Source organism: Homo sapiens, chromosome 13 (genome assembly GCF_000001405.40).
Source record: "Homo sapiens chromosome 13, GRCh38.p14 Primary Assembly".
Taxonomy (NCBI): domain Eukaryota; kingdom Metazoa; phylum Chordata; class Mammalia; order Primates; family Hominidae; genus Homo; species Homo sapiens.
The window spans coordinates 74,354,640-74,378,753 of NC_000013.11; the positions used below are offsets into that span (position 1 = coordinate 74,354,640).

A 24,114-nucleotide genomic window follows, 5' to 3' on the forward strand; every position below is an offset into this window, starting at 1 on the left:
AGCTGAGATTGCCTCACTGCAGTCCAGCCTGGGTGACAGAGTGAGACTCCGTCTCAAAAAAACAAAACAAAACAACAAAACAACAGAAAAACAAAAAAACACAACAACATAATAAGATTCCACTGTTGAGTAGCAATTATTATTATTAGTGGTACAAATAGTAGTAGTAGTTCTATACTACGATCTCTATCTCCCTCTTTCTCTTTCTTCGTGTCATCCTCTCAAATAGAGAGCAAATCTTTTACAGCAGGAACCATGTAATATATTTCTATGCACAAGGAAGAGACACAATACAAATATACTGAATAAATAAATAATTCAATTTGAAGATTTCTATCTACAGAAAACAAAAAATAATTATGTTGTTTTTGGAATGATACTGTTACTACTATTTGCAGAGAGGGATGGAGAGGGGAGGAAAAGTGTAGTTTTATGGTGAGGACCCTGGACTTTATCATATGATAGTGCTGGACTTCACTGCTAGTTACTAGCTACGTTTGCGTGGAAAAGTTAATTTAATCTAAGATTTAGCTTCTTTTTCTGTAAAGTAGGAATAACAACAGCTACCTCTCAGAATTGTCTTGAGGACTAAGTGAGAAATGTACAACATGTTACTTGCACATTGTTTTGCCAATTCTAGAAATTATTGTAATCACTCAGGAATCCATAGTGGTGTCTTATAAGAGGTACAGAAATTTAACAACCTTAACATATGACATATCTCTTTCTTCCTATTATATTTTATAAAGTTAAGGACATTGACAATAAAATAGGGTAAGTCAGTAAACATTTCTTCTTCATTCATTTGGAAATGCATTATGCTCTGTTTTGGGACCACTTCTGAATTCTTGTCTTGTATTATTCTGAAGAATTTCACTTGTTTGGCTTGTAACAAATTAGGTTAGGAGTCTGTAAGAGACTGTTTGTCTGATTGTGTTATAGTCTCAGCTGTGTCAGGGACTATTCCTTATGTTGAGCATCATGGTATTGTAAAAGTATGTCTGATTCAACTATAGGCTTCAAGTTCTAAATTTGTGTCCCAGTTTCCCCATTGCCATTAGCAATAGACCCACAGACTGGTTTCGAATCCTCTGAAAAGCCATTTTCCTAGGTGTGAAATGAACATAATCATCTGAGTGTGCTCAACAGCTTATTGTGAGCTGAAAATGGGTTAATGCATGAATAAGAGCTTTGGAAGCTGTCAAGTGCAGCACAATATATGACTAATAAATCAACAATGATTTATTGATACGAAATGAGTGGCTAATTTCATCAATGCCTAAGGCATTTAGAAAGTTACATTTGTGTTGTATATTCACAATTGCAAGTACCTGAATTAGAATAGATTAAAAAACATGATTGATTTGGGAAAACTACCTTGGAGATACCTTATGTTCTCTTATGTTAAATTTCACACTTAGATTTCATTTTGTGGTTATTCATCACTTTTGGAATTGCTGCTTATTTCATGTTAACATTAAGGAAAAATAACTATTTTGTGGTTTAGGTATAACTCCTACTTGAAGAGTGTGAGAGAATATTTACTACTCGGATGTTTGAGACATACCAAAAAATGCTTTTTGATCCTTTATCAAGAAGACGTAATGACCAAGATTGATAAAGAAAAATGCAATGGTTACTTTACCTGCAACCATCTCAAAGACGCTCTAATGTCATTTCAGAGTGAGTACTTCAAGTGGTAGGGGTAGAGGAATAAGATGTAATTAAATACTTTTTTTTTACTCAGAGATTTTAAAGATTATTACATACGCAGTAAAATTGGTAATTTTTCTCTAGCATCTAAATCCATTACTAAAGACCAAATCCTTTGCTTTAACAAAATGAGAATCAAGACATTGTTGATTGAAAAAAATATAAGGGTAACTGTTAATGGATTTTTAAGGCCTGCATTCTTTTGTATCCTGTGTGTTACTTTAGTTATTAAATTCCTACTCTAGTTCTCTGTTTTCAGTGAGAGTTCGTATATACTGAATGACTTGTCTAACAGTAAAATACAATTTCTTAAAACATTATTTCAATGGGTTTGCTTTTTGTTTGTTGAATTGTTTAAGTTCCTTATAGATTCTGGATATCAGACCTTTGTTGAATGCAAAGTTTGTGAAAATTTTCTCCCATTCTGTATGTTGTCTGTTTACTCTGTTGATAGTTTCTTTTGCTGTGAAGAAGCACCTTAGTTTAATTAGGTCCTAATTGTCAAATTTTGTTTTTATTGTAATTGCATTTGGGAACTGAGTCATAAATTCTTCACCAAGGCTGATGTCCAGAATGGTATATCCTAGGTTTTCTTCTAAGGGTTTTATTGCTTAAGGGCTTACATTTAAGTCTTTAATCCATCTTGTGTTAATTTTTGTATATACTGAAAGGAAGCGGTCCTGTTTCAATCTTCTGCATATGGCTAGCCAATTATCCCTGAACCATTTCTTGAACAGGGAGTCCTTTTCCCGCTGTTTGTTACTGTTGACTTTGTTGAAGATCAGGTGGTTGTAGGCGAGTGGTTTTATTTCTGGGTTCTCTTTTCTGTTCTTTTGGTCTATGTGTCTGTTTTTGTGCCAGTAACATGCTGTTTGCTTACTGTAGCCTTGTAGTATAGTTTGAAGTTGGATAATGTGATGTCTCCAGCTTCGTTCTATAACCCTATTAAAAAATGGGCAAAGGGCATGAATAGACACTTCCGAAAAGAAGACATATATGTGGCCCACAAATATATGAGAAAATGCTCATTATCACTAATCATTAGAGAAATGCAAATCAAAACCACAGTGAGATACCATCTCATGCCAGGCAGCATGGCAATTATTAAAAAGTCAAAAAAGAACAGATGCTGGTGAGGCTGTGGGGAAAAAAGAACAATTATACACTACTGGTAAGAATGTAAATTAGTTCAGCCACTGTGAAAAGCAGCGTGTATATTTCTCAAAGAACTTAAAACAGAACTACTATTTGACCCAGCAATCCTACTACTGGGTATACACCCAAAGGAAAATAAATCGTTCTACCAAAAGGTACCTGCACTCATATGTTCATTGAAGCCATATTCACAATAACAAAGCCGTGGAATTAACCAAGATGCCCATCAACAGTGGACTGGATAAAGAAAATGTGGTTCATATACACCATGGAATATGATGCAGCCATAGAAAAGAATGAAATCATGTCCTTTGCAGCAACATAGATACAGCTGGAGGCCATTATCTTAAATGAACTAATGTAGGAACAGAAAACCAAATAATGCATGTTCTCACTTATAAGTGGGAGCTAAACATTGACAGCACATGGACACAAGGATGGGAACAATAGACACTGGGAATTGCTTGAAGAAAGAGATTAGAGGGGGGCATGGATTGGAAGGCTAGTTATTGGGTACTATGTTCACTACCTGAATGACAGGCTCATTCATATGCTAAGCCCCAGTGAAACACAACTTACCCATGTAACAAACCTGGACATGTAACACCTAAATCTAAAATAAAAGTGGAGGAAAAAAAATTTATTTCAGTGCAGAGTGTCATATACTACTGAGATAGGGAAAAATCCTGAAAAATATCAGCATCTGCATTTCTGGATATGAGGCTTAAAGCATTAATTTCTATGGCAAAAAAATATTTTTAATAGACAATTTCAAGCATACACAAAAGACAAAAGTACAATATGAACTTCATTATAGCCATAACCCAGATTCCCGAATTAGCAAGGTTTTGCCATTTGGGCTTCCTCTGTCATTCTTTTCTTCTCTCCCCTCCTCCTTCCTGACCTTTCTTCCTTCCTTTGCTTTACTGAGGAATTTCAAAGCAAATCTCAGATCTCATTCCATTTCACTCCTACGTACTTCAGTATGCATCTATACAACATGCAAACTTTTTCCTATATAATCTTAATGCCATTATCACATATAATAAATGCAAACGTAATATTTTTGTTATGATTTAGTAATAAGTTCATACTAAATTTCCCAGACTTTCTAAAAATATCTTTTTACGTTTGATATGTTTGAATCAGAATTCAATGTTCACAAATCACATTTGATTGTTTTAGTTCTTTACCTACCTTGATCCTTTTCTCTTTTTTTTTTCATGCAATCGACTTACCACTGACACTGGATTAGTTGTTTTCTTGTAGAATTTCCCACAGCTTGGATTTGTTTGATTGCTTCCTTGTGTGTCATTTAATTTGCTCTTTTATGTCCCATAATTTCTATAAATAGAAGCCAGCTCTAGACTTTTAAGGAGTCTAGGTGTATATATTTTTTTTCAGCTGGAGTACTTAGTAGAAGATTCTGTGGGATTCATATTATACCAGATAAGGAGGAACTAGGTTTTTGATTTTCTGCTTTTAACAGAACAGCCAGAATTGTTTATTGGAATGTTTCAATCTACTTTTATATAGTGATTGTATCCACTGATGATTATTGCTGGAATCCATTATCTCATTGAGGCTTGCATGATGGTGGTTTCTAATTGTATTTTTCCTACTACATGTGTTAGCCACAATTTATCTAAAAATATAACTTCCTTACATCATTTAGGACTATTTGGTTGCCCTGAAATACAATTTATACAGACAAGCAAGATAAATGACTATTTCTTTTTCTACAAATTGTCAGTGTTCATAGTAACTAATGCCCTAGTTATCTCTAATAGTGATGAGTGGGGCTAATATGGTTTGGATCTGTGATCTCCCATCCAAATCTCATGTTCAGTTGTAATCTCCAATGTTGGAGGTGGGGCCCAGTGGTAAATAATTGGATCATGTGGGAAGATTTTTCATAAATGGTTTAGTATTGTCCTCTTGGTACTGTCCTCATGATAGTGAGTAAGTGAGTGCTTGTGAGATCTGGTCATTTGTAAGTGCATAATACCTTCCCCCTTGCTCTCTTGCTCCTCCTGCTCTGGCCATGTGAGGTGCCTGCTCCCCCTTTACCTACCACAGTGATTGTAAGTTTCTGGGGCCTCCTCTGAAGCTAAGCAGATGGCAGCATCATGCTTCCTATAGCCTGCAGAACTGTGAGCCAATTAAACCTCTTTTCCTTATAAATTACCCAGTCTCAGGTATTTTTTCATTCTCTCTTGTCATTATTAAGTCAAAGATTTTGATATATTCACATATGTAAATGAAATGTAGCCATAACTTTAGGTTTACACAAAAAAATTGCAGAGAATTCCCATATACTCCATACACAATTCTCCCTATTATTAACATCTTACATTAATGTGGATCATTTACCACGATTAATGAAACACTATTGATTCATTATTATTAATTAAAATGCATATTTTATTCATATTTCCTTAGTTTTTACCTGATACCCTTTTTCTGTTCTAGGATCCCATCCAGGATACCACATAACATTTGGTTGTGATGTCTCTCCTTAAGCTCCCCTGGGCTGTAAGAGTTTTTTAGACTTGTTTTTGATAATCTTAACAGAGTGCTGGTCAGATATTCTGTAAATGTTCCCCAGTGGAATTTGTCTAATATCCTTTTCATGATTATACTGAGATTATGGATTTCTGAGAGGAAGACCAAAGTGGAAAATTCCATTTCATCACATCTTATCAAGGATACATGCAATCAACATAACTGATCACTGTTGATGTCCTTGATCACCTGGTGGATGCAGTGTTTTTTAGATTTCTGCAGTGTAAAGTCACTCTTTTTTTCTGCCTTTCCATATTGTATTCTGTGGAAGGAATTCACCATATGCCATCCACATTTAATGGTAGAGTATTACAAAATTATCTAGAATTCTTTCGCATGGGAGATTTGTCTCTATTTTTTGATCATTTATTTCAGTAAAGACTAATGTATTTATTTCAGATTTTAGGTTATAATCAATCACTACTTTATCTTATTGCTTAAATAGTTCCAACTTTGACTTTTGGGAGCTCTTTCAGTGAGTTCCTGTGTCTATTTGACATACTCCTATTGCTGTGAATTTTTGTTTGTTTGTTTGTTTGTGAACATTGCCTTACCTTCTGGCACTACTAGATGCTCCAGGCTCATCTTATAAAGTTCCTTCCTTAGTTCTGAATAAGCTCTTTCTCTAAGGAGCTCTGGTTGCTTTTTTTTTTAGAAAACGGTATTAGAAACCAAGATCTAGGTGCTAGGTATGTTCATTGCTGCTGGAATTATTGCTTTTAAGCTCTTAATTCATTTTGATTCTCCAATTTTTCTATCTCAGTCCAAAGAAAGCCTCTTTAGGTTGGCTTTAGTGTTATTCTTAAATAATTCCACAGGACTTTAATTGCTTCCTTCTTTTCCTGCCCCAAAAAAAGGCTCCCAGGCTCAGTTGGTATATTTTTTCAGATCTAGAATTAGCTATTGGTCCTATTGTGGGAAATGATATTTAGGCACCAAAATCTAGGGGCCAGTAAAAGAAATTGGGCCAGAATTTATTTTACTGGATTCTTATTGCTTCTTACAGTGAACATATTTAAGAAATACATATTTTTGAAAAAAAAAACACATGTTCATGCTGATTTTTCTAATTTCTTTAATTTTATACTTTTATTTCTTTTCTAACACAATGAAATTCTTAGTTTTCAGTGTAAGAGAAATATATGTGTATTGAGTATAGTTAGTATATATAAAAAATTATATATATATAGTACGTCTATACATATGTGTGTATGTATTTTTATATATAATCTTAGGGTGTTAGTACCAAAATTACTATCGGTACTATTACAAAGAAACTGAAATTACTTTTGCACCAACCTAATGCTAACAATAAAATTACTGAACAAAGTTTCACATATTTTTACAGCTCTATTTGTCTTCAGAAAATATTCCAATGTGGAGATGTAATCAAATATTGTATTCTAATGTCACGTGATTGTTTTCTTTGTTATATTGTTTTATTAATTTTGTATACAACTACATTTATTTATTTTTACTTATTTTTAGAGAAAGCTCTTTTAAATTTTAAAAATATACACATTATTTACATGATTCCCAAGCTGAAACTGTGTAGCAAGGTATATCCAAAGAAATCTTTGTATTCCTGTACCCTTCACGTTGTTTCTTCTCTCACGGCATAGGTAACCATTTGTATTTGTTTGTTTTTGGTTTTCCTTCCAACGTTTTCTTTATCAAATTTTCTGCACCTTGCTTTATTTTAACTTAAAAATATATCTCAGCAATTACTCCATGGTAATAAGAAACCTCCTTATTCCTTTTATACATTGTATAATATTTCCTTGTGTGTTGTGTCTATGCCATAATTTATTCAACCAATCCTCTATTGATAGGTGTTTGGATTTTCTCCAATCTTTTACCATCACAAATAATGTCTTGATGAATAATCTCGTGCATTTGTCACTCTATATCATTGCTAGTGTGGTTTTTTTCTCTTTTGTAAAGCAGGGATAACAAAAGTACTTTGTAGATTTGTTTAGAGCATAAAATGTGATGTGGTGTATGGTATGTTTGGTGTAATGTCTGGCACATGGTCATTGCAGCTGCAAATACAATTATTATTAAGTTTAAAGTGCTACAATTCCTGTTTTAGGGTATTGTGGAAACACATTAGAGAGATGTTTAATCCCAACTCTGTGTGTGTGTGTGTGTGTGTGTTGGACACAATGAGTGTGAGTAGGAGTGGGGAAGGTTAGATAGAAACAAATGACACCTCAGCTGAGGCTTGAAGGTGAACAGATTTTTTGGATCAGGGGAGGACGTTCCATGCAAAAGAAGCATATTGGACGGTCAGATCAGGAGAAAGAACAGATAATTTTGAGAACTTCAAGAAAAACTTAGGTTATAAAGGAGAGGAATGGTGACTGATGATGTAAAGGTAAGCAAGTGGTTGGTACTGGAGGGATATTTTCTGCTCCTCAAATACTTAATTCTGAAGGTTATGGAGAATTAGTAAAGGATTTTATGCCAAGAAAGGACATGACAAAATTTTTATTTTACAAAACTCATGCCAGCATTTCCTCTGTCATGCAGGAAATTCAGGCAAGAAATACGAGGAACTAAACTATGGCAGTGACTGTGGACATGGAAAAATTATCCCCAGCTCACTCTTGGGACTCTTTCATCTCTGACTTTAGGACTCCAGCCTCTCCCAGTTCTCCATTTTTTAAAAAATTTCTTTGCTTATTCTTCCAGCAACTGTCCTTTAAGGAAGTCACTTCCTAAGACTTGATTTGAAGTCTCTTTCTAGCTCTATACTCTTTTGGGGTGCTCTCATTTACTCTCATGGTTTCAAATGTTACCTCTATGCAGTTGACTTGCATATCTGCATCTCTATTTCTAACCTAACTCTTTCTAGAATTCCAGATTCATATATCCAACTGTTAGCTAAACATTTCCAGTTGTATTTCCTCTAAACACTTTGAACTTAGCATTTTTCAAACCAACATCATCTCCTCTCCTCCCCTCTCCTCTGGCCACTCCCCCAAACACAAACCTTGTCTTTTTGGTTTCCTTCGTCATTACCTGCTTTACATTGTCATTGAAACAAGAGCATTCCTTATATCTTATCCATATACCTCACAGACATCTGTGCCTCCGGTGCTGTCTCATCTGTGGTCTGAGTCTAACTTTTCTATCTATTTCCTCTAACACAGCCTTGGCTCTGGCCTTCATCACTCCTCAATTGTACTACTAATTTTCATAACTTCAATGGTTTCTCCTCCTTAATCTTTTCCCTCCCTCTACTTATCTTTTACTACCAGAATGGTGCTTCCAAAATCTGCAATGGATTCTGATTGTCTTCAGAATACAGGCCATGGTCCTGTGGTGAGACATTCGGAACTCTGTGGCTGCCCATCAATCTACCTTCAAACTCTGAGCTGCCACCATACTCCATGAACATCAGGAGGCTCAACAAACATTCCTTGTGTTTTCCTTCAAGCCTCTCCTTGCATGATTCCTTGGGTGACAGTACCATTCTTCCTATTATTTCCTCTCCAAGTCCTCTTTACCTTTCAAGTCCCAGCTCTTACGTCCCCTCCCCAGTGAAGCCCTCTTTGAACCAGTCTCTTACCAGTCTCTTACCAGCGTTTGGCATAAATTGACCCCTTTCTCCTCTGAACTGCAAATCATTTATAAGAACCTTGACTTTGCCAACTATGGCTATAATTGTCCTCCCTGTACTTGATTGTATATGTGGGTATCCCTTACAAAACTATACATTCATAGAAACCTATCATCATCCCTTATATACGGTGGTGCTCAGAGTATCATCTTGAATTATTTAAATACAATCTCTTGTAATTCATTATCTTTAGGTCAAGAAGGTACAATCAGCATAATGAAATTGGTTAAATTCTGACAATTATGACCAAACATTTTAACACATTGTACTGAGTACTTAGTAGGAATCAAGCAACATGCCCAATGCTTTATAGATTTCATTTTCTTATTCATCCTGACTACCCTATGAGATAGTTTCTGCTATCATGTCCACTTTATCAAAGGGTAAATTAAGATTTAGGGACACTAATTAAATTGACAACATCATAAATCAGTAAAAGGAAGAAGTAGCATTCAAACCCAGCTGAAAAAGACCTGTGCCTTAGACACATCAGATGCTTTCCTGCTCCAACATTGTCGAATAGAAGAACTGGTGCATAGTGTGAGTTCAGAAAGTCATTAAATGTCAGTAACCTGGTATGAGTTTGATGGGGTTCAGAACATAGTACACCAAAATATGGCACGTCAGCATTTGAGAAAACAGTAGAAGCAGGAATATTATTCTCATCTTCCCTGTCCCTTCTCCCCTGAAACAGGTCATAAGACCCTCATTCTAGAGGTGCCCTTCCTATACCTGGAAGACACAGGGACACAAATAACACACAAGAACACAGGGACACAGATAATAATGTGAACAAATAGGCCTTGCTAAGTACCCCCAGCTTATTACCGTTGGATCATACCCCCTTTGTTCAATCACACTTCTCCATGACTATCCATTTCTTCATCAAAACTGGCATTAAGCAGCTAGGCACAGTGGCTCATACCTGTAATCCCAGCATTGTGGGATGCTGAGGCAGGCAGATCACTTGAGTCCAAGAGCTTGAGACCAGCCTTGCCAACCTGATCAAACCCCATCTCAACTAAAAATACAAAAATTAGCCGGGATCGGTGGGGCATGCCTGTAGTCCTAGCTACTTGAGAGGCTCACACAGGAGAATCGTTTGGCCCCAGGAGGCGGAGGTTGCAGTGAGCCGAGATCGCACCACTGCACTCCAGCCTGGGTGACAGAGTGAGACTCTGTCTCAAAAAACAAAACACCAAAACTGGCATTAAAAATACAGTTTTTCCTATTTGTGTATTCAATTCTTATGGTTCCCATGTCACATAAAACTTATATTAAATAATTTTGTATAATTTTTCTCTCATTAATCTGTCTTTTGTTATAGGGACTTCAGCCATGAACTTGGTGATGAGCCAGAGAAGGTAACTTTTCATCCCCTACAAGACCTGTAAGTCCAAAACAAAATTTTGTGCATTTTCTGGCTAAGGACAATAATTCCTGTAGTGGGAATATTAAAGACAAGTCTACGAATACCATAAAATGATAAAAAAAGTCAAACTTGGAAGAAAAGTTAGACAATTTGTTTATAAAGAAATATTCTGAATTTCCAAGGGATTTCCTGTTACTTTTAATATTTACATTTTCTGAGATACTGTTAATATAATACTTAAAGAAGATGGAGTAGTAGCCCCAAGAGAGAAACTCCACAGACTTTAAATGTTGGTGCATTTATTCAGCAAACATATTAATAAATATCCATTCTGTACTAGGTGCTGTAAGAAGATACAAAGTGGGATCAAATGTCTACATATTGCTTATAATCTAACAGCAGGGATAAGAAATATACTCAGCAGGTTACAAGAGCTAGTGATAACTCATCACTGCCTTAGAAGGGTTTCAGTTCCAGCTGCAATTTCCATAGGAATTCTATGGAGAGAGAGAAAACTCTCTATGTTACAGGGTATAAATAGATTTTTATTGAAGACAGCAACTGGTGGCAAAGTTATAGAAATACAGTTTTGCCAGGATCAGACTTACATCTCAAATAATTACTTTAAATCTCTTGAAAAAAAAATCATTTTGTAAACTTCAGTGTCAGTCAGTCAATCAATATGTCCAGTTTGGTTAGAATTGTATAAGAAAGTCATACATTTTTAAAACATTTCCACTATTCCGATAAATTACAAATGATGAGGTCTGCCAATAAGAAGCATCTAATTATGTTCAAAACAAAAACCTTAACTTGATCTGGTTTGCAAGTACTTTCTGAGGTAGTATGGATACTGCCTGGTGTTCAATAAAAGGAACATACTGTCTTGTTGAACTGAGAGCAATTTTGTGTTCCGCCTTCTACCCTGCCAAGAACTAGCTGTTCTTGAGACTTAGCACAAGTCCTTCAATCTCTTTTTTTAAGCCGAGTAGCTAGGTGATCTTTAAAATCTCCTCTGTCAGTCAAATTATTTCATTTAATATCACCTTATTTAAGCCCATGCTAACAAAAAAATAGTGAAGAGTTCTCTAATTTGTGCAAGTCTATATAAGAGCTAATCATTGTGTGACAAAAAGAAATAAAATGCTTCCATTCTTAAAGTCAGACCATACCTTCCTGTGGCTAATTTGGGCTTTGGGCAGCCATAAGAATAGGCCTGCTTATGCCTGCAATCCCAGCACTTTGGGTGGTCAAGGCGGGAGGATTACTTGAGGCCAGGAGTTTGAGACCAGCCTGGGCTACACAGCAAGCATAGTGAGACCTTGTCTCTACAAAAAAAAATAACAAAAAAAAGAGCCCATCATAATGTAGTCCCAGCCACTTGGGAGGCTGAGGTGGGAGGATCACTTGAGCTCAGGAGTTTGAGGCTGCAGTGAGCTATGATCATGCTAATGTGTTCCAACTTGGGCAATAAAGCAAGAATCTGTCTCTAAAAAAAAAAAAGAAAAGAAAAGAAAAAGAAAAGAGCTTTATTTCAGAAATGAATAAATAGAACAGAATTTATTCATCTAACAAATATTTATTGAGCACTTACTATGTACCAGACACCATGTCAGGTGCTGAGGAACACGGTAGTGCACAAAGTCTCTGCCCTTGGCGAGCTTCTAGTCTAGAGGAGGGAAGTTAAGTAAATGAATGTATTAGGATGCTGCAGTGGGGCTTTTATGTCCTTGTGTCTTGTCTCAAAGGTGATAAGGACATAAGAACTGCCAAGTAACTCTATGTCCCTAAGGAAGGACACGTAGCAGATGCCAAGGGTAAACACTTCCAGCCTATAAAACGGTGGAAATTTGAGAGAGAGCAAGAGCAAGAGCCAGAATGAGAGTGTGTACATGAAGAGAAAGGGAGAATGAGAATCCCTAGGAAAAAGTTTTCAGGAGCTTTAAGAGAGCCAACTGGAAGGCTTGACAAATGTGTTCTGGAAGTGGAGGACTACTGTTGCCTCCTGCCAGCAGACTAGCGGTAGGGGTGCCCCCGCCTGGTATCAAAGAAAAATGGCGGTCCTGGAAGAAGATTTGCAACCAAGGTGCTGGATAAGAGAGAGAGAGTTTCCTTGTGGGCCCAGTGGCGACAGAGCCCAAGCACACTGCCTGGAAGAACAGAAGGACCTCCAAGAGTCATGAGTGAGGTGGGTTGCTGGATGCCAACAGGCTGAGGGAGGAAAGCCTAAAGACAGCGCGAGGATTGGCACAATCTACCTTAGAAAGGCACAGATAGAGTTCCGCTTCTTCCTCCCCGCTAACAAACAAACAAACCCCAAACCCACAAGAAAGCATCCGGAAAGTAAGGGATGATTGTACCGTGCTCTCTGTTTAGAAGGAATCAAGAGCATATCATGACTGCATCTGCACCCTAAGCATGTGCTCTTTGCCCACAAACTATCTTCCACTTCTTTCATGCTGGCTGGTGAGGGTCCAGGAACTTGAGTTAGAACATGCTGGAGCAAGCTGGACACGCTGAGCTCTGCACTCAAGGCTTCCTTGCCTGCATCAGACCTGAGCTGCAGACAGCTTTAACTTGAAGGATCTTACAAATTGTACTTATTTCATTGGTCTAGCTATTTTCAAATCTGAAATGAGACTTTTCTAGTGAGGGGGCCAGAAAAGCTATGGGACTTGCCCATGATCCAAGAGGAAAAATACACAGAGAGAAGGCTTAGAACGACTATCTGTGAAACAATACAGTTGCTTCATGAGCATAAATCTTGTTCATTTAACAAAGATTGTCTCACATTAGTCACACAGACACACACTTCTATTATAAATGATCAAAAGGCATTATAGTGAAAATGTAATAATACATAAAAATGGGGGCTTAGGCCAGACATGCAGACCACTGCTTTAAGAAGCTGAATGTAATGAAGAAACTGAACATGGCTTTTCTTTCTCTTTCCCCTACCCCATCACTTCCTGTTCTCTATTGCCTCATTTATTTCTATCATTTCCAGCACTTGGGGACATTTTTAGTTTAGTTTGATTACATTCAGTCCCACGGTGAGGCTGTGTAGAGATAAATATATCTGTAAGTCAGAAATATCGCAAACCCGAAGACGAATAATCGCATTGCCTTGTCATGTTTCTCTTAGTCAGAAAGTAGTGTCTGAAAACTAAAGAATTACTCTTAATATACAGTTCTCTTCTAGGGACAGTATTTGATGTTAGATCTTTGGTAACGTTGTTTTGTGGGAAGGGATCTTTATCTTATGTATCACCTTCAAAGGAGAATAAATAAGAATGAGCAAGTTGAAGAAAACTCAAGGTGAGAGGTTCCTTTTTCAATAACATTAAGTAGAAAATGACAGCATATAGATACCAGTGTGTCTTCTTGTGGGTTTTGAAAAATTTAGAGTATTACAACAGGCATTTAATTGCCAAAATATATACAACTTTGATGCTCAACAATGATTATGTTTATAATATTTACTAGAACCTTCAAGTGCCCTCTCAGATTGATCTTCTGCATTTATTCATCTTTTCTCACTTCCTCCAACCTCTGACAGTCATTGGAAGAGGTGTCTATCCTTGTGATCAAGGTCATTACCTCCCATGGCCTTAGGACTCCTCCATGACCTTTGCTCTATGGATAATTTCCTCTCTGTTCTACAGACTCATTCTCTCTCTCATGGCTTGTGCTCAGCCTGTTAAAAAAAAGATTAAATCTCCGTGGGTCCTAATATTAGAACAAAAAACTTCCTTGACTTTGCATCTCTGTGTGCCTACTATCTAACCATCCCTGTGTTAGCAATCATTTCCTAGCAGTCAAATTCAACAGACAATTTTCAGTTCATATTTTACTTATGACAATAGTAGTTATAATAACACCCCCCCAAAATTTTAGAACCTTGGCAGAATAATTTATTTCTTGCTCACATCATAGTCTGACATGGGTGTTTTTTAGGTGAGGATGGCTTTCCTCTGTGTGATGACTCAGGGACCCTCTCTCTTTCCTTATTGTTGCTCTGTCATGAGTTAGGATCTTGTAGTCCTCTGCTTCCAGCTCTTAGAAATGGAATAAGAGGACAGAGGTGGCATACCTCTGTTTCAATTGCCTTGGTACTCACATTCTATTGATTGAAACTAGTAAAATGGCACCACCAAAATACACATGAGGCTGGGGAATGTATTTCTTGCTGGGTCAGTGGCAACTTTTTACTAAAGAAGGAGAAGCATAAATTTTCAATGAAGAAGTGGCTGTTGGCCGCTATCTATTCTTGAAACTGTCTACCCTTTTACATCATTTTACAGAACTCTTTCCTGTCTCTCCTTTTACCTTTCTGACAATGCAGCATCTTCTTTCTATTCCTTCCTCTCACACTTCACTGCGTGTCAGAACTCTCTATGATTTCCATCCTATTCTGCCCTCTCCACACAAGCTTTTATAGATTCAACTAAAATCTGCATACTGATTGCTCACAAATTTCTATCTCCAGCCAACTTCTCCCTGGAACTTCAAACTATGTATTAAATATTTTTTTTGGACACATCTGCTGGAAAACCAATAGTCTCCTTGAATTTGCTGTGTCTGAAACTAAACTCTTTATCTTATCTCACTCTCATCTTCAAACGGAATCCTGCTTCTTCATTAACTAGTTAATAACGTTACCATATATTTAGTCAACCAATATAGAAATCTGGGAGTCATCCTAAAATACTGTTTGTTTTTCACAATTCTCTCCCTTCCTATGCCCCACTTCCCATTAAAAATCAACCTCTAAATAGCATTCTTTTGAAGTATTTTACAAACTATTTCATCCACTGTTTCAAGAACCTTATTTTATCTTAATAAAATGGTTATTTATTATATTCCTCTTTATGATACAAAAGCAGATGCATATACTGTGATGGTAAATTTTAGGGGTCAACTTGACTGGATCATGGGATTCCCAGATAGCTGGTAAAGCACTATTTCTGGGTGTGTCTGTAAGGGTATTTCTGGAAGAGATCAGCACTGATTCAGTAGACTGAGTAAGGAAGATCTGCCCTCACCCAGTGAGGGTAGGCACCATCCCATTGCCTAAGGCCCAGATAGGACTAAAGGAGGAAAGGCAAATTCTTTCTCTTTGTTCCTCTCTCTCTCAAGCTCTCTCTCCTGGAGCTGGGACACCCCTCTTCTCCTGCCCTTTGACACCAGAACTCCAGGTTCTTTGGCTTTTGAACTTTACTTGCACCAGCACCCCACCCAGCCCCTCGGCCCTTCAGCCTCAGACCGAGAATTACACCATTGGCTTCCCTAATTCTGAGACTTTCGGACATGGACTGAGCCACACTAATGTCTTCCCTGGTTCTTCAGCTTGCAGATAGCTTGTCATGAGTCTCTCATAATTCTCCTAATAAACCCCTTTCATAGATGTATGTGTACATGTATATCTATATCTCGATTTATATCTGTAATTGTATCTCTATATTGTATCTCTATATATCTCCTATTGGTTCTATCTTTCGGGAGAACCCTAATACATAGACAATATCGTTTAAAAGCATTTTAAAAGACAACAAATTGGCTAGTGTTTGAAAATTTGAAAAATAAAGATTAGTTAAATGAGAAATTAACTAATTAACTAATGTTAAATAAGAAATTGGCTCATAAGATTATCGAGGCTGAGAAATCCCATCATCTGCAGCCAGTGAGCTGGAGACCCAGGAGACTCAATGATAGAGTTCCAGTCCCACTCTAAAGGCCTGAGAACCAGGGCAGCTGATGGTATAAATTTCAGTCCAACTCTGAGTCTGAAAGGTAGGAGAACAATATGCCAGCCTAAAGACAATAATGCAGAGATAAGTGAAATCTCCCTTACCCAAATTTTTGTTTGATTTAGGCCTCCAGTGGATTGGCTGAAGCCTGCCATCCAATTTTCCCCATGGGAAAGGTAATCTGCTTCTTTTAGTCTGCTGGTTCAGATGTTAATCATATTTAGAAACACCCTCACAGACACATCCAGAATAATGTTCAATCAAATATCTAGGCACCCCATGGCCCAGTCAATTTGACACATAAAATTATTACACTAATATATTGTGAACATTTTCCATATTATTAAGTATTTATCAAAGCCATGATTTTGTTCCTTGTATAATCTTAAATTTTATACATATATTATTAATCATTTAAAAATCCCCCATTGCTTGATATGAAATTGTTATAAATTTTTACCAACAGAAAAATGTAACAAACATCTTTGTGTTCATATCTTATATCTTTGCTTCCATATCTATCTATAGTGATATGTTGTGGAATTGTCTGTCTGCTCCTTTTTGCTTCCTTTCAGAAACTCCCCCTCCCCCACTTAGTGTGTCTCTGATGGGGCAATTTAGCCTAATGCACCACCCCCACCCAACCAACACCACCACTGGAGTGGTAACCAGATCAAGTTAGACAGTCAGAATAACCCATTCTCATCTCTCAGGGATGGTTCAATGATGGGCATGGGTACCACACCCAGTGACATGGAGTGCTCCCTGAGACTTTGTCGATGGAACCGTCATGGAAGACGGATTTATTACGTTGGGATTGCTGAACTGTGAGGATGTGATGTACATCCTTAGCCTTGAAGATAAAATGTTTCCATGGAATGAGGTGAACGTACAGAGAAAGGAAAAGTTAAGAGATGCAGAGAAATATAGACTTCCCTGTAACGTTATTGATCCCTTATTCATTGTTGCCTATAGAAAATTTATTCTTGGAATTCTCAATTACTTAGACTAATAAGTCCCATTTGTGTGTAGATTATTGTGAATTGTATATCTCTCATTTTCAATTGAAGGGGACAGGTTTTTAGAAATTAGATTACTTAGACATAGATAATGAACACTGATTAAATAATTTTATCAGATTACTTTTTAAAAACATTGTATTAATTTATATTTTTAATCAGCAGTTTATTAAAAGTAATAATAAAACAAAAATAGAAAAATAATAGAAATGATAACATAGCATTAGGAGGAAATATTTAATTAAGTACTATTATATACCAGGCACTAAACCCAGGGTTATCTTTGCCAGGGAGTAAATCATACATATGTTTGCTTTCCATTCATATATATACTCATTGTTTACTAAGGGCACATTGAAATAGACATTAATAAAACGGGCCAAGAGTCTTAAATATAGAGAATAAATCATATATGCTGCAATTTATTGTGTATGCCTTTGTTTTTCTTTTAAACTTTTAAAATAAAAATAGCTGGCTTAGCCATTGTATGCTAAAGAAAATAAATGTACAACAAATAAAACCCAATGTTTTTGGAAAGGTAATGCTATTTGTCATAACATGTAAATCTCTGTGACCTATTACTACAGAGACTACACTTATTATTCAAGCTGGAGCAATTGTAAGAATGAAAGGGAGAGCTCTTAATAAATACACTGGGATAAGCAGTGTAAACTGAAACTGTTCTGTGCATAGTGGGACATATAGTCACTTGATTTCATACAATGTCTATTTTTTACTTAAATAAAGACATGCTGTTGCATTGGCAGACATTTTGAACTCTGACCCACACAATTATTTGTGGGTCCAGAGACTTTCATCTCTGACATGTGGCTTCTAAGGGTACACTGGGTTTTGCCTTTGGGGAGGATTTATGGATCATGCCTGGAAATGAGGCAATCATATTCACCCACATTCTGTTGGCAAGAAATCAGTCATTTGGCCACATCTAAATACAATGGTGGCTTCAAATTGTAGTCCATTTAAATAGCCAGGAGGAAAGGGAAAATGGTTCAGTAATAGCCAGCCAGTATTTTTCCATAGCTTAAAAATAGAAAATTTTAAATAATCTTTGTATGTTTACAGAAACATGCAAAAAATTGGATCCAGAAGAAATACAACTGTAGGTTGATATTATATTTTATCTCTCGAACATTGCTATTCTGATATTTCTAAACTAGCCCTGAAAGAGATTCAGTTAAAATATGTAAGACAGAATTTATCTCCTATTAGATTACACTGTTCAAAAATTCTGTCACATCTAATTTTTATCAGAACCCATGTGCCTAATCCCATTTTATTTCAACAACTCTATATAATATAAAGAGCACAAGATTCCTAGTCAGAAAGACCTCAGTCACAATCCTGATTGCTGTTTATTTGATGAAGGATCTTGAAGAAGCTACTTAACCTTTTTAAGCCTCAGTTTCCTGTCCTGTAAAATGGAAGCAAATGCCTATCTCAGAAGGTTGTGAGAATTAATTAAGATGAGTACTTAACATGCCAAGTTTAATGCTTTCCCCATAACAGATGGTCAATAAGACTGATCCCTTTCTCCTAGAGTAGTTAACTTCTGTGGGATTAAATAATTGCTACTCCAACAACTGTCCCCTCTCTCTAATTAATAAAGCATTCAACTGGAAAGACTTCATTTTAATCTGAAGTGCAGACATTTTGTAGTTGCTAAAGTGTTTACAAAAGTTACTCTTCTTCAAATACAATTTAAAAATAATTTAGTGTAACAAATCCTATTCTCCCCACCTCTCTAATTTTGTATGATGACTTCACACATTGAGTTCATTGTTCAAAAGATTTCTGAGATGTTATGAGTGCAGAAAGGCACAAACCAATTTTCATGCCATAATAAATTTAATTTTTTATCAAAGGAATGGAGAGATTTTTTTTTTTTTTTTTCAGAAATAACGGTGCCTTAAAAGATAGTTGAGACTAGGGAAGAATGATGTGGAAATAGAAGGTGAGCTCTCAGAACCTGACAGTACACCAGCGCAAGTTCGTGCTCTAACAATTGGCGTGTGTCACAAACTAGGTGATTCTTCAGGAGACTAAAGGTTGAATATAATCCTAGCAATCTTCGTGTCTAAGTAGGCTCTTCAGCAATATCTTTGTTTTGGGGCTTTGGTAACACATAGAGTCTACTTGAGTTTTAAGGCTGCTTTTTACCAATGTCTCAAAAGAATTTGAAAGCCTAACAGAATTTAATACTAGCTACTAAAATCAGAGCAGGCTGTCACAGAGAGTTTAAAATTTTTTTTCTGAAAAGTAAGAACATTTTGGTTTTCTGAGACCTTGAGTGGAATGACCTGAGTGCATATCTAAGTGACTTTCAAAAATGTAGTTATTACCAAGCCTTGCCTATAAAAATCCACTTAAAAAGAAAGAGAGAGAGAGAGACAGGGTGCTCTGTCGTCCAGGCTGGAGTGCAGTGGCACAATCCTAGCTCACTGCAACCTCGACCTCCTAGGTTCAAGCAATCCTTCCACCTCAGCCTCCTAGTAGCTAGGACTACAGGTGGAGCCCACCATGCCCCTCTAATTTTTATTTATTTTTTTTAATAGAGATTGGGGTTTTGCTGTGTCACCCAGGCTGGTCTCGAACTGCTGACCTCAAAGCAATCCTCCTACCTCAGCCTCTTAAAGTTCTGGGATTACAGGTGTAAGCTACCATGCCTGGCCAAGAGCCCACTGTTATAAGTCTACAAGTGGTGTTAAATTATTTCTCTGCATAAAGGATTTATAACAAAATTAAAGGACTAACTTCATTCCAGGTTATGTTTGGTTGCTTAATAACATTTGGGAAGGGAAGAATCCACTTGTAGCTAAGAAAATACAGGTAAACCCATGAAGAATTCTGCCTCTATTTTCATATTTAACCACCTGCCTTATCATCCCAGATATTCCCTGTTTGGCCACGACCCTCATTGTGTCCCTTTTCCTGATGGCCTTAATTCCCATGAGTTTCTAACTGCCACATACTAGTCTTTATTGCACCTCATTTTTTCAGGGTTCCAGATGCAGACTATATTTTCTGATAAATGAATCTTGGCCAAGTGTTAATGAGCAAGGACTAGAAAGATGATTTTTGGTAATATATTCATTTTAGCTGAGACGTTTAGACAAATTTACTCTGCACTTGTTTTCTAAAACATAAATGGCTGGCATTTTAGGCTTGCATAGAGCTGATTTTAATGACACTTAAATATAGGGTGGACCATCGTTATCAGCAACCCTGTGTTCCTTTGTGGCAAGAAAAAAGGTTGGACCAAATTGATTAGTCTGGTGGCTCTTTATTAATATTTTGAAGGAATGTCTGTAAAATAAATTGTGGTGCGGTGCCATGTGCCTCCAGGGACCTCTAACACATTTTTAGTGCTTGTTAAATTCAAAGTGATGCTGAAATTATAGCAAAGTAATAACAAACTGACCAAAGTTTAATAGCAAACTTTCATTTTCTGCATCAAGCATTTGCTGAATACAGACCTAGAAATTTAAATCTGGCCTTCTCCGGAGATGAGCAGTTCTCATGAACAGACCAAGAAATTCGCCTGTAGGCCTTCAAAGAGTTCACTTGAAGGTCTCCTTTCACTAGGGCAGATGATTTAGCAGGAAGGATGGGCTGCAGAAATGTTGTCTTTTCCAATTTCACACTTTTCTTTCCTCAGTCTTAGCTTATAAAGATCTAATTTTCCCTCCTTTTTGCATCATTTTTCATATCTTGACACAGGGCATCTCTCATATTTCTGCTCAGATCAAGGGCAGAGCTAGGCAGATCAAGGTATAATAAGTTTTAGCTAAATGTTTATGCCAGTTTTGAAAATTTACAGCTTGCATGGAACACTTGCAGAGGTCATAGAAAAAAATTATTTTTTTCTTACTTAAATTACTTTAATTTAGTCTAACAAATCAAAAGTCAAATGCAATGCAACCTATTCTATGGTTCATAGATTTCTAAAATAATATTGAAATTGATCCCAGAGGACTAGAAGGTATTGCATTGTTTTGAAGATGAGCGATAAAAATAATTGTTCATTCTTACCAAGCAAAATATTATTTATGGGAAGAACAATGAGAAACCGGGAGATTCCACAGCCAGATGGGTGGCCTTGTGTAGAAAAAACACATCTGATTAAATTTTGTACTTTGGTGTCAGGTAGACACAGCAAATATTGATAACTCATTCCATAATGGATTCCTTGTCTTTTTAGGATTCATATGGTCAGCCTTCTTATGAAAATTTAAAAACAAAGTTTGTTTTTTTAATAGTTATAGTCTGTTAAATTTTCATAAGAAAATTTATATTATATCATATGATATATTCAAATGGTAGAATCATAAAAGCTTTAAAGTTCATGTTTTCAGATATCTCCACAGGTTTGTGCCATTAGTATATCAGACTCACAAGTATATCATTACATCAGACTCACAATTATCAAAGCCTCAACAGTATTCAAATGTGATATTTACAAAATTTGATCACTGCAATTATACTGATATAATCTATACAGATGATATACACTAAGTTAACTGTTTAAGAGTGGTTTACTCTAGGTCCCCCAGGTAGTCCAAAATCTAGAAGGTTTTTGACACTATGGATTTGAATGATAATATTATTGTCATCCCCCTAAAACCAACACTAGTTTTTTGGTTGATTCTGGTACTCACGTGTGTGTGTGTGTGTGTGTGTGTGTTTTAAGCATTGGCCAAAGGTAGCAGGTGGCATAGATGGCTGACAAGATCTTTTGCTTTGCCAAAGTAGACCAGAGATTTTTAAAACAACTGATTTCAGATATTCTATAATTTCTACTGTCCGGGGGAGGCACTGAAGGTTTTTTATCATCTGTTGAGATGAGTTGATTATAAAACAGTTTTCCTGGTGTTCCTCTTTAACCAAAATCTTCTCCTTCTCTTTGGCCCTTGTTTTCTGAGATAAATCACTCTCTTCTTCCCAAAGCAAAATGAAAGGGGCAATTATACCCTTGGTGATTCTTAATTGTCTCAATTAACAAAGTCAGTTTCTGGAGTCTGAGCTGAAAATGAAGCTTACAATTCACCCTCAATACATGAAATTTGGTAAGTTAATTTGAATCTTTTTTTGTTTGGTCAAGAAAATTCAACTATTTGAATATTGAACTGCAGTCACTATACTGGTACTCTCAATTTAGCTTAGAATAAAAATGCGTTCTCTCCCTATATCCTCAGTTAAATTAAAGGGAAGAAAACAAAACAAACAAACAAAAAACAATATTATCACTCAAATAGACTTTATTTATTTTTTACAGCCCAGAGGCCTTTATTCTTCTTACAGCGATTCTGCTGTGAATTCGTACGGAATGGGCTCCAGCAGCTCAGGCTACTTTCCACTGGGTCTCACAAAGTGTGCTTCTCGAAGCAGGCTGGGGCTTCCCTTGAACCCAGGTACCTTTCTCTTTGTCTTCCTTCTTTTTTTTTTTTTTTTTTCTTGAGACAGAGTCTTGCTTTCTCATCCAGGCTGGAGTGCAGTGGCACGACCTAGGCTCACTGCAACCTCCGCCTCCTGGGTTTAAGTGATTCTCCTGTCTCAGCCTCCCAAGTAGCTGGGAATACAGGTGCCCACCACCGCACCCAACTAATTTTTGTATTTTTAGTAGAGATGGGGTTTCACCAAGTTGGCCAGGCTGGTCTCAAACTCCTGAGCTCAAGTGATTCGTCTGCTTTGGTCTCTCAAAGTGCTGGGATTACAGGCATGAGCCACCATGCCTGGCCTGGCTTCCTTCTTTTTCTGATTATTTTCTTTCACATGTTTCAGGATGCTATCTTGGCTCTTCAAGTGCTTAAAATGCTGAACATGTATATTAATTCGCTTGGCAAGAACCTTGCCCTTACCTTGTTTGCTGACAACATTGCCAGCAGCATGCTGGGGAACATTGTAGACTCTTCCAGTTTTGGATGGCAACTCTTGCAGGGCATTCCGTTTTGAACAATATCTATTCCCTTGATGTCTACAATATCACCTTTCTTGTAGATTCCCACTTATGTACCTAAAGGAGCAACTCCATGTTTTCCAAAAGGCCTGAAAAACATATAGCAGGTACCTTGTGTTTTTCTCTTTATGTTTGTCATTTTGGTGAATTACTGGAAAATGGAGGTTCAGGCCAAAAGGCTTAACCAGATATTGTTTTAAGCAGTAAGTTTTTACTTTTTCCGAATATGTTCCCCTTACATCAAATAAGCATTTTCTCCCTGTGTTAATGCTTATTAATTTGCCAGTGACCGTCAATATATCAAATAACTTTACCAAATACTGTTGTAAAAAGCACTGTACTGGCCCAATAGACAAATTAAAACCTAGGTTACGTAATCTAGATGTGCCCCTTGCTTACATGTGGGAGAATTGGAAAGATTCATTTATTAGTGACTGTAATATACAGAGGAATTTAAGTTAAAAGATGTTTTGGAAAAATTCAAATATTGTTACTAAGGGGAAGTAAAAATAAATATATATGTTTCACATCCCTCGGTCAGAAGAAAGCAAATGCAGTATCTATCAATCCAAATCAAAAAAATAAACAGCAAGAAAATACAAATACTTTATACTCTTTATACTCTATTAAAAGGCAAAGACTCGGCCGGGTGTGTTGGCTCATGCCTGTAATCCCAGCACTTTGGGAGGCCGAGGTCAGGAGATTGAGACCATCCTGGCTAACACGGTGACACCCCGTCTCTACTAAAAATACAAAAAAATTAGCCGGGCTTGGTGGTGGGCGCCTGTAGTCCCAGCTACTTGGAAGGCTGAGGCAGGAGAATGGCTTGAACCCGGGCTGCAGAGCTTGCAGTGAGCCAAGATCATGCCACTGCACTCCAGCCTGGGTGACAGAGCGAGACTCCATCTCAAAAAAAAAAAAAAAAAAAAAAAAAGGCAAAG

The 24,114-nt window shown here is 36.8% G+C and overlaps 1 long non-coding RNA gene and 1 pseudogene across 5 annotated transcripts in view; one reads left to right on the forward strand and one right to left on the reverse strand.

Moving 5' to 3' along the window:
* LOC105370259 (uncharacterized) overlaps positions 1–24,114 on the forward strand; it is a 120,734-nt gene that overhangs the window by 66,570 nt on the left and 30,050 nt on the right. For 4 of the 5 annotated variants that reach the window (NR_187795.1, NR_187793.1, NR_187794.1 and 1 more), the window contains 2 exons: positions 1,508–1,683; positions 10,386–10,448. This is a non-coding gene — a long non-coding RNA (uncharacterized LOC105370259). The remainder of the gene's footprint in view (positions 1–1,507; positions 1,684–10,385; positions 10,449–24,114) is intronic. The other variant, NR_187796.1, reaches the window with a different exon arrangement.
* On the reverse strand, positions 22,906–23,352 carry RPL21P108 (ribosomal protein L21 pseudogene 108; annotated as a pseudogene).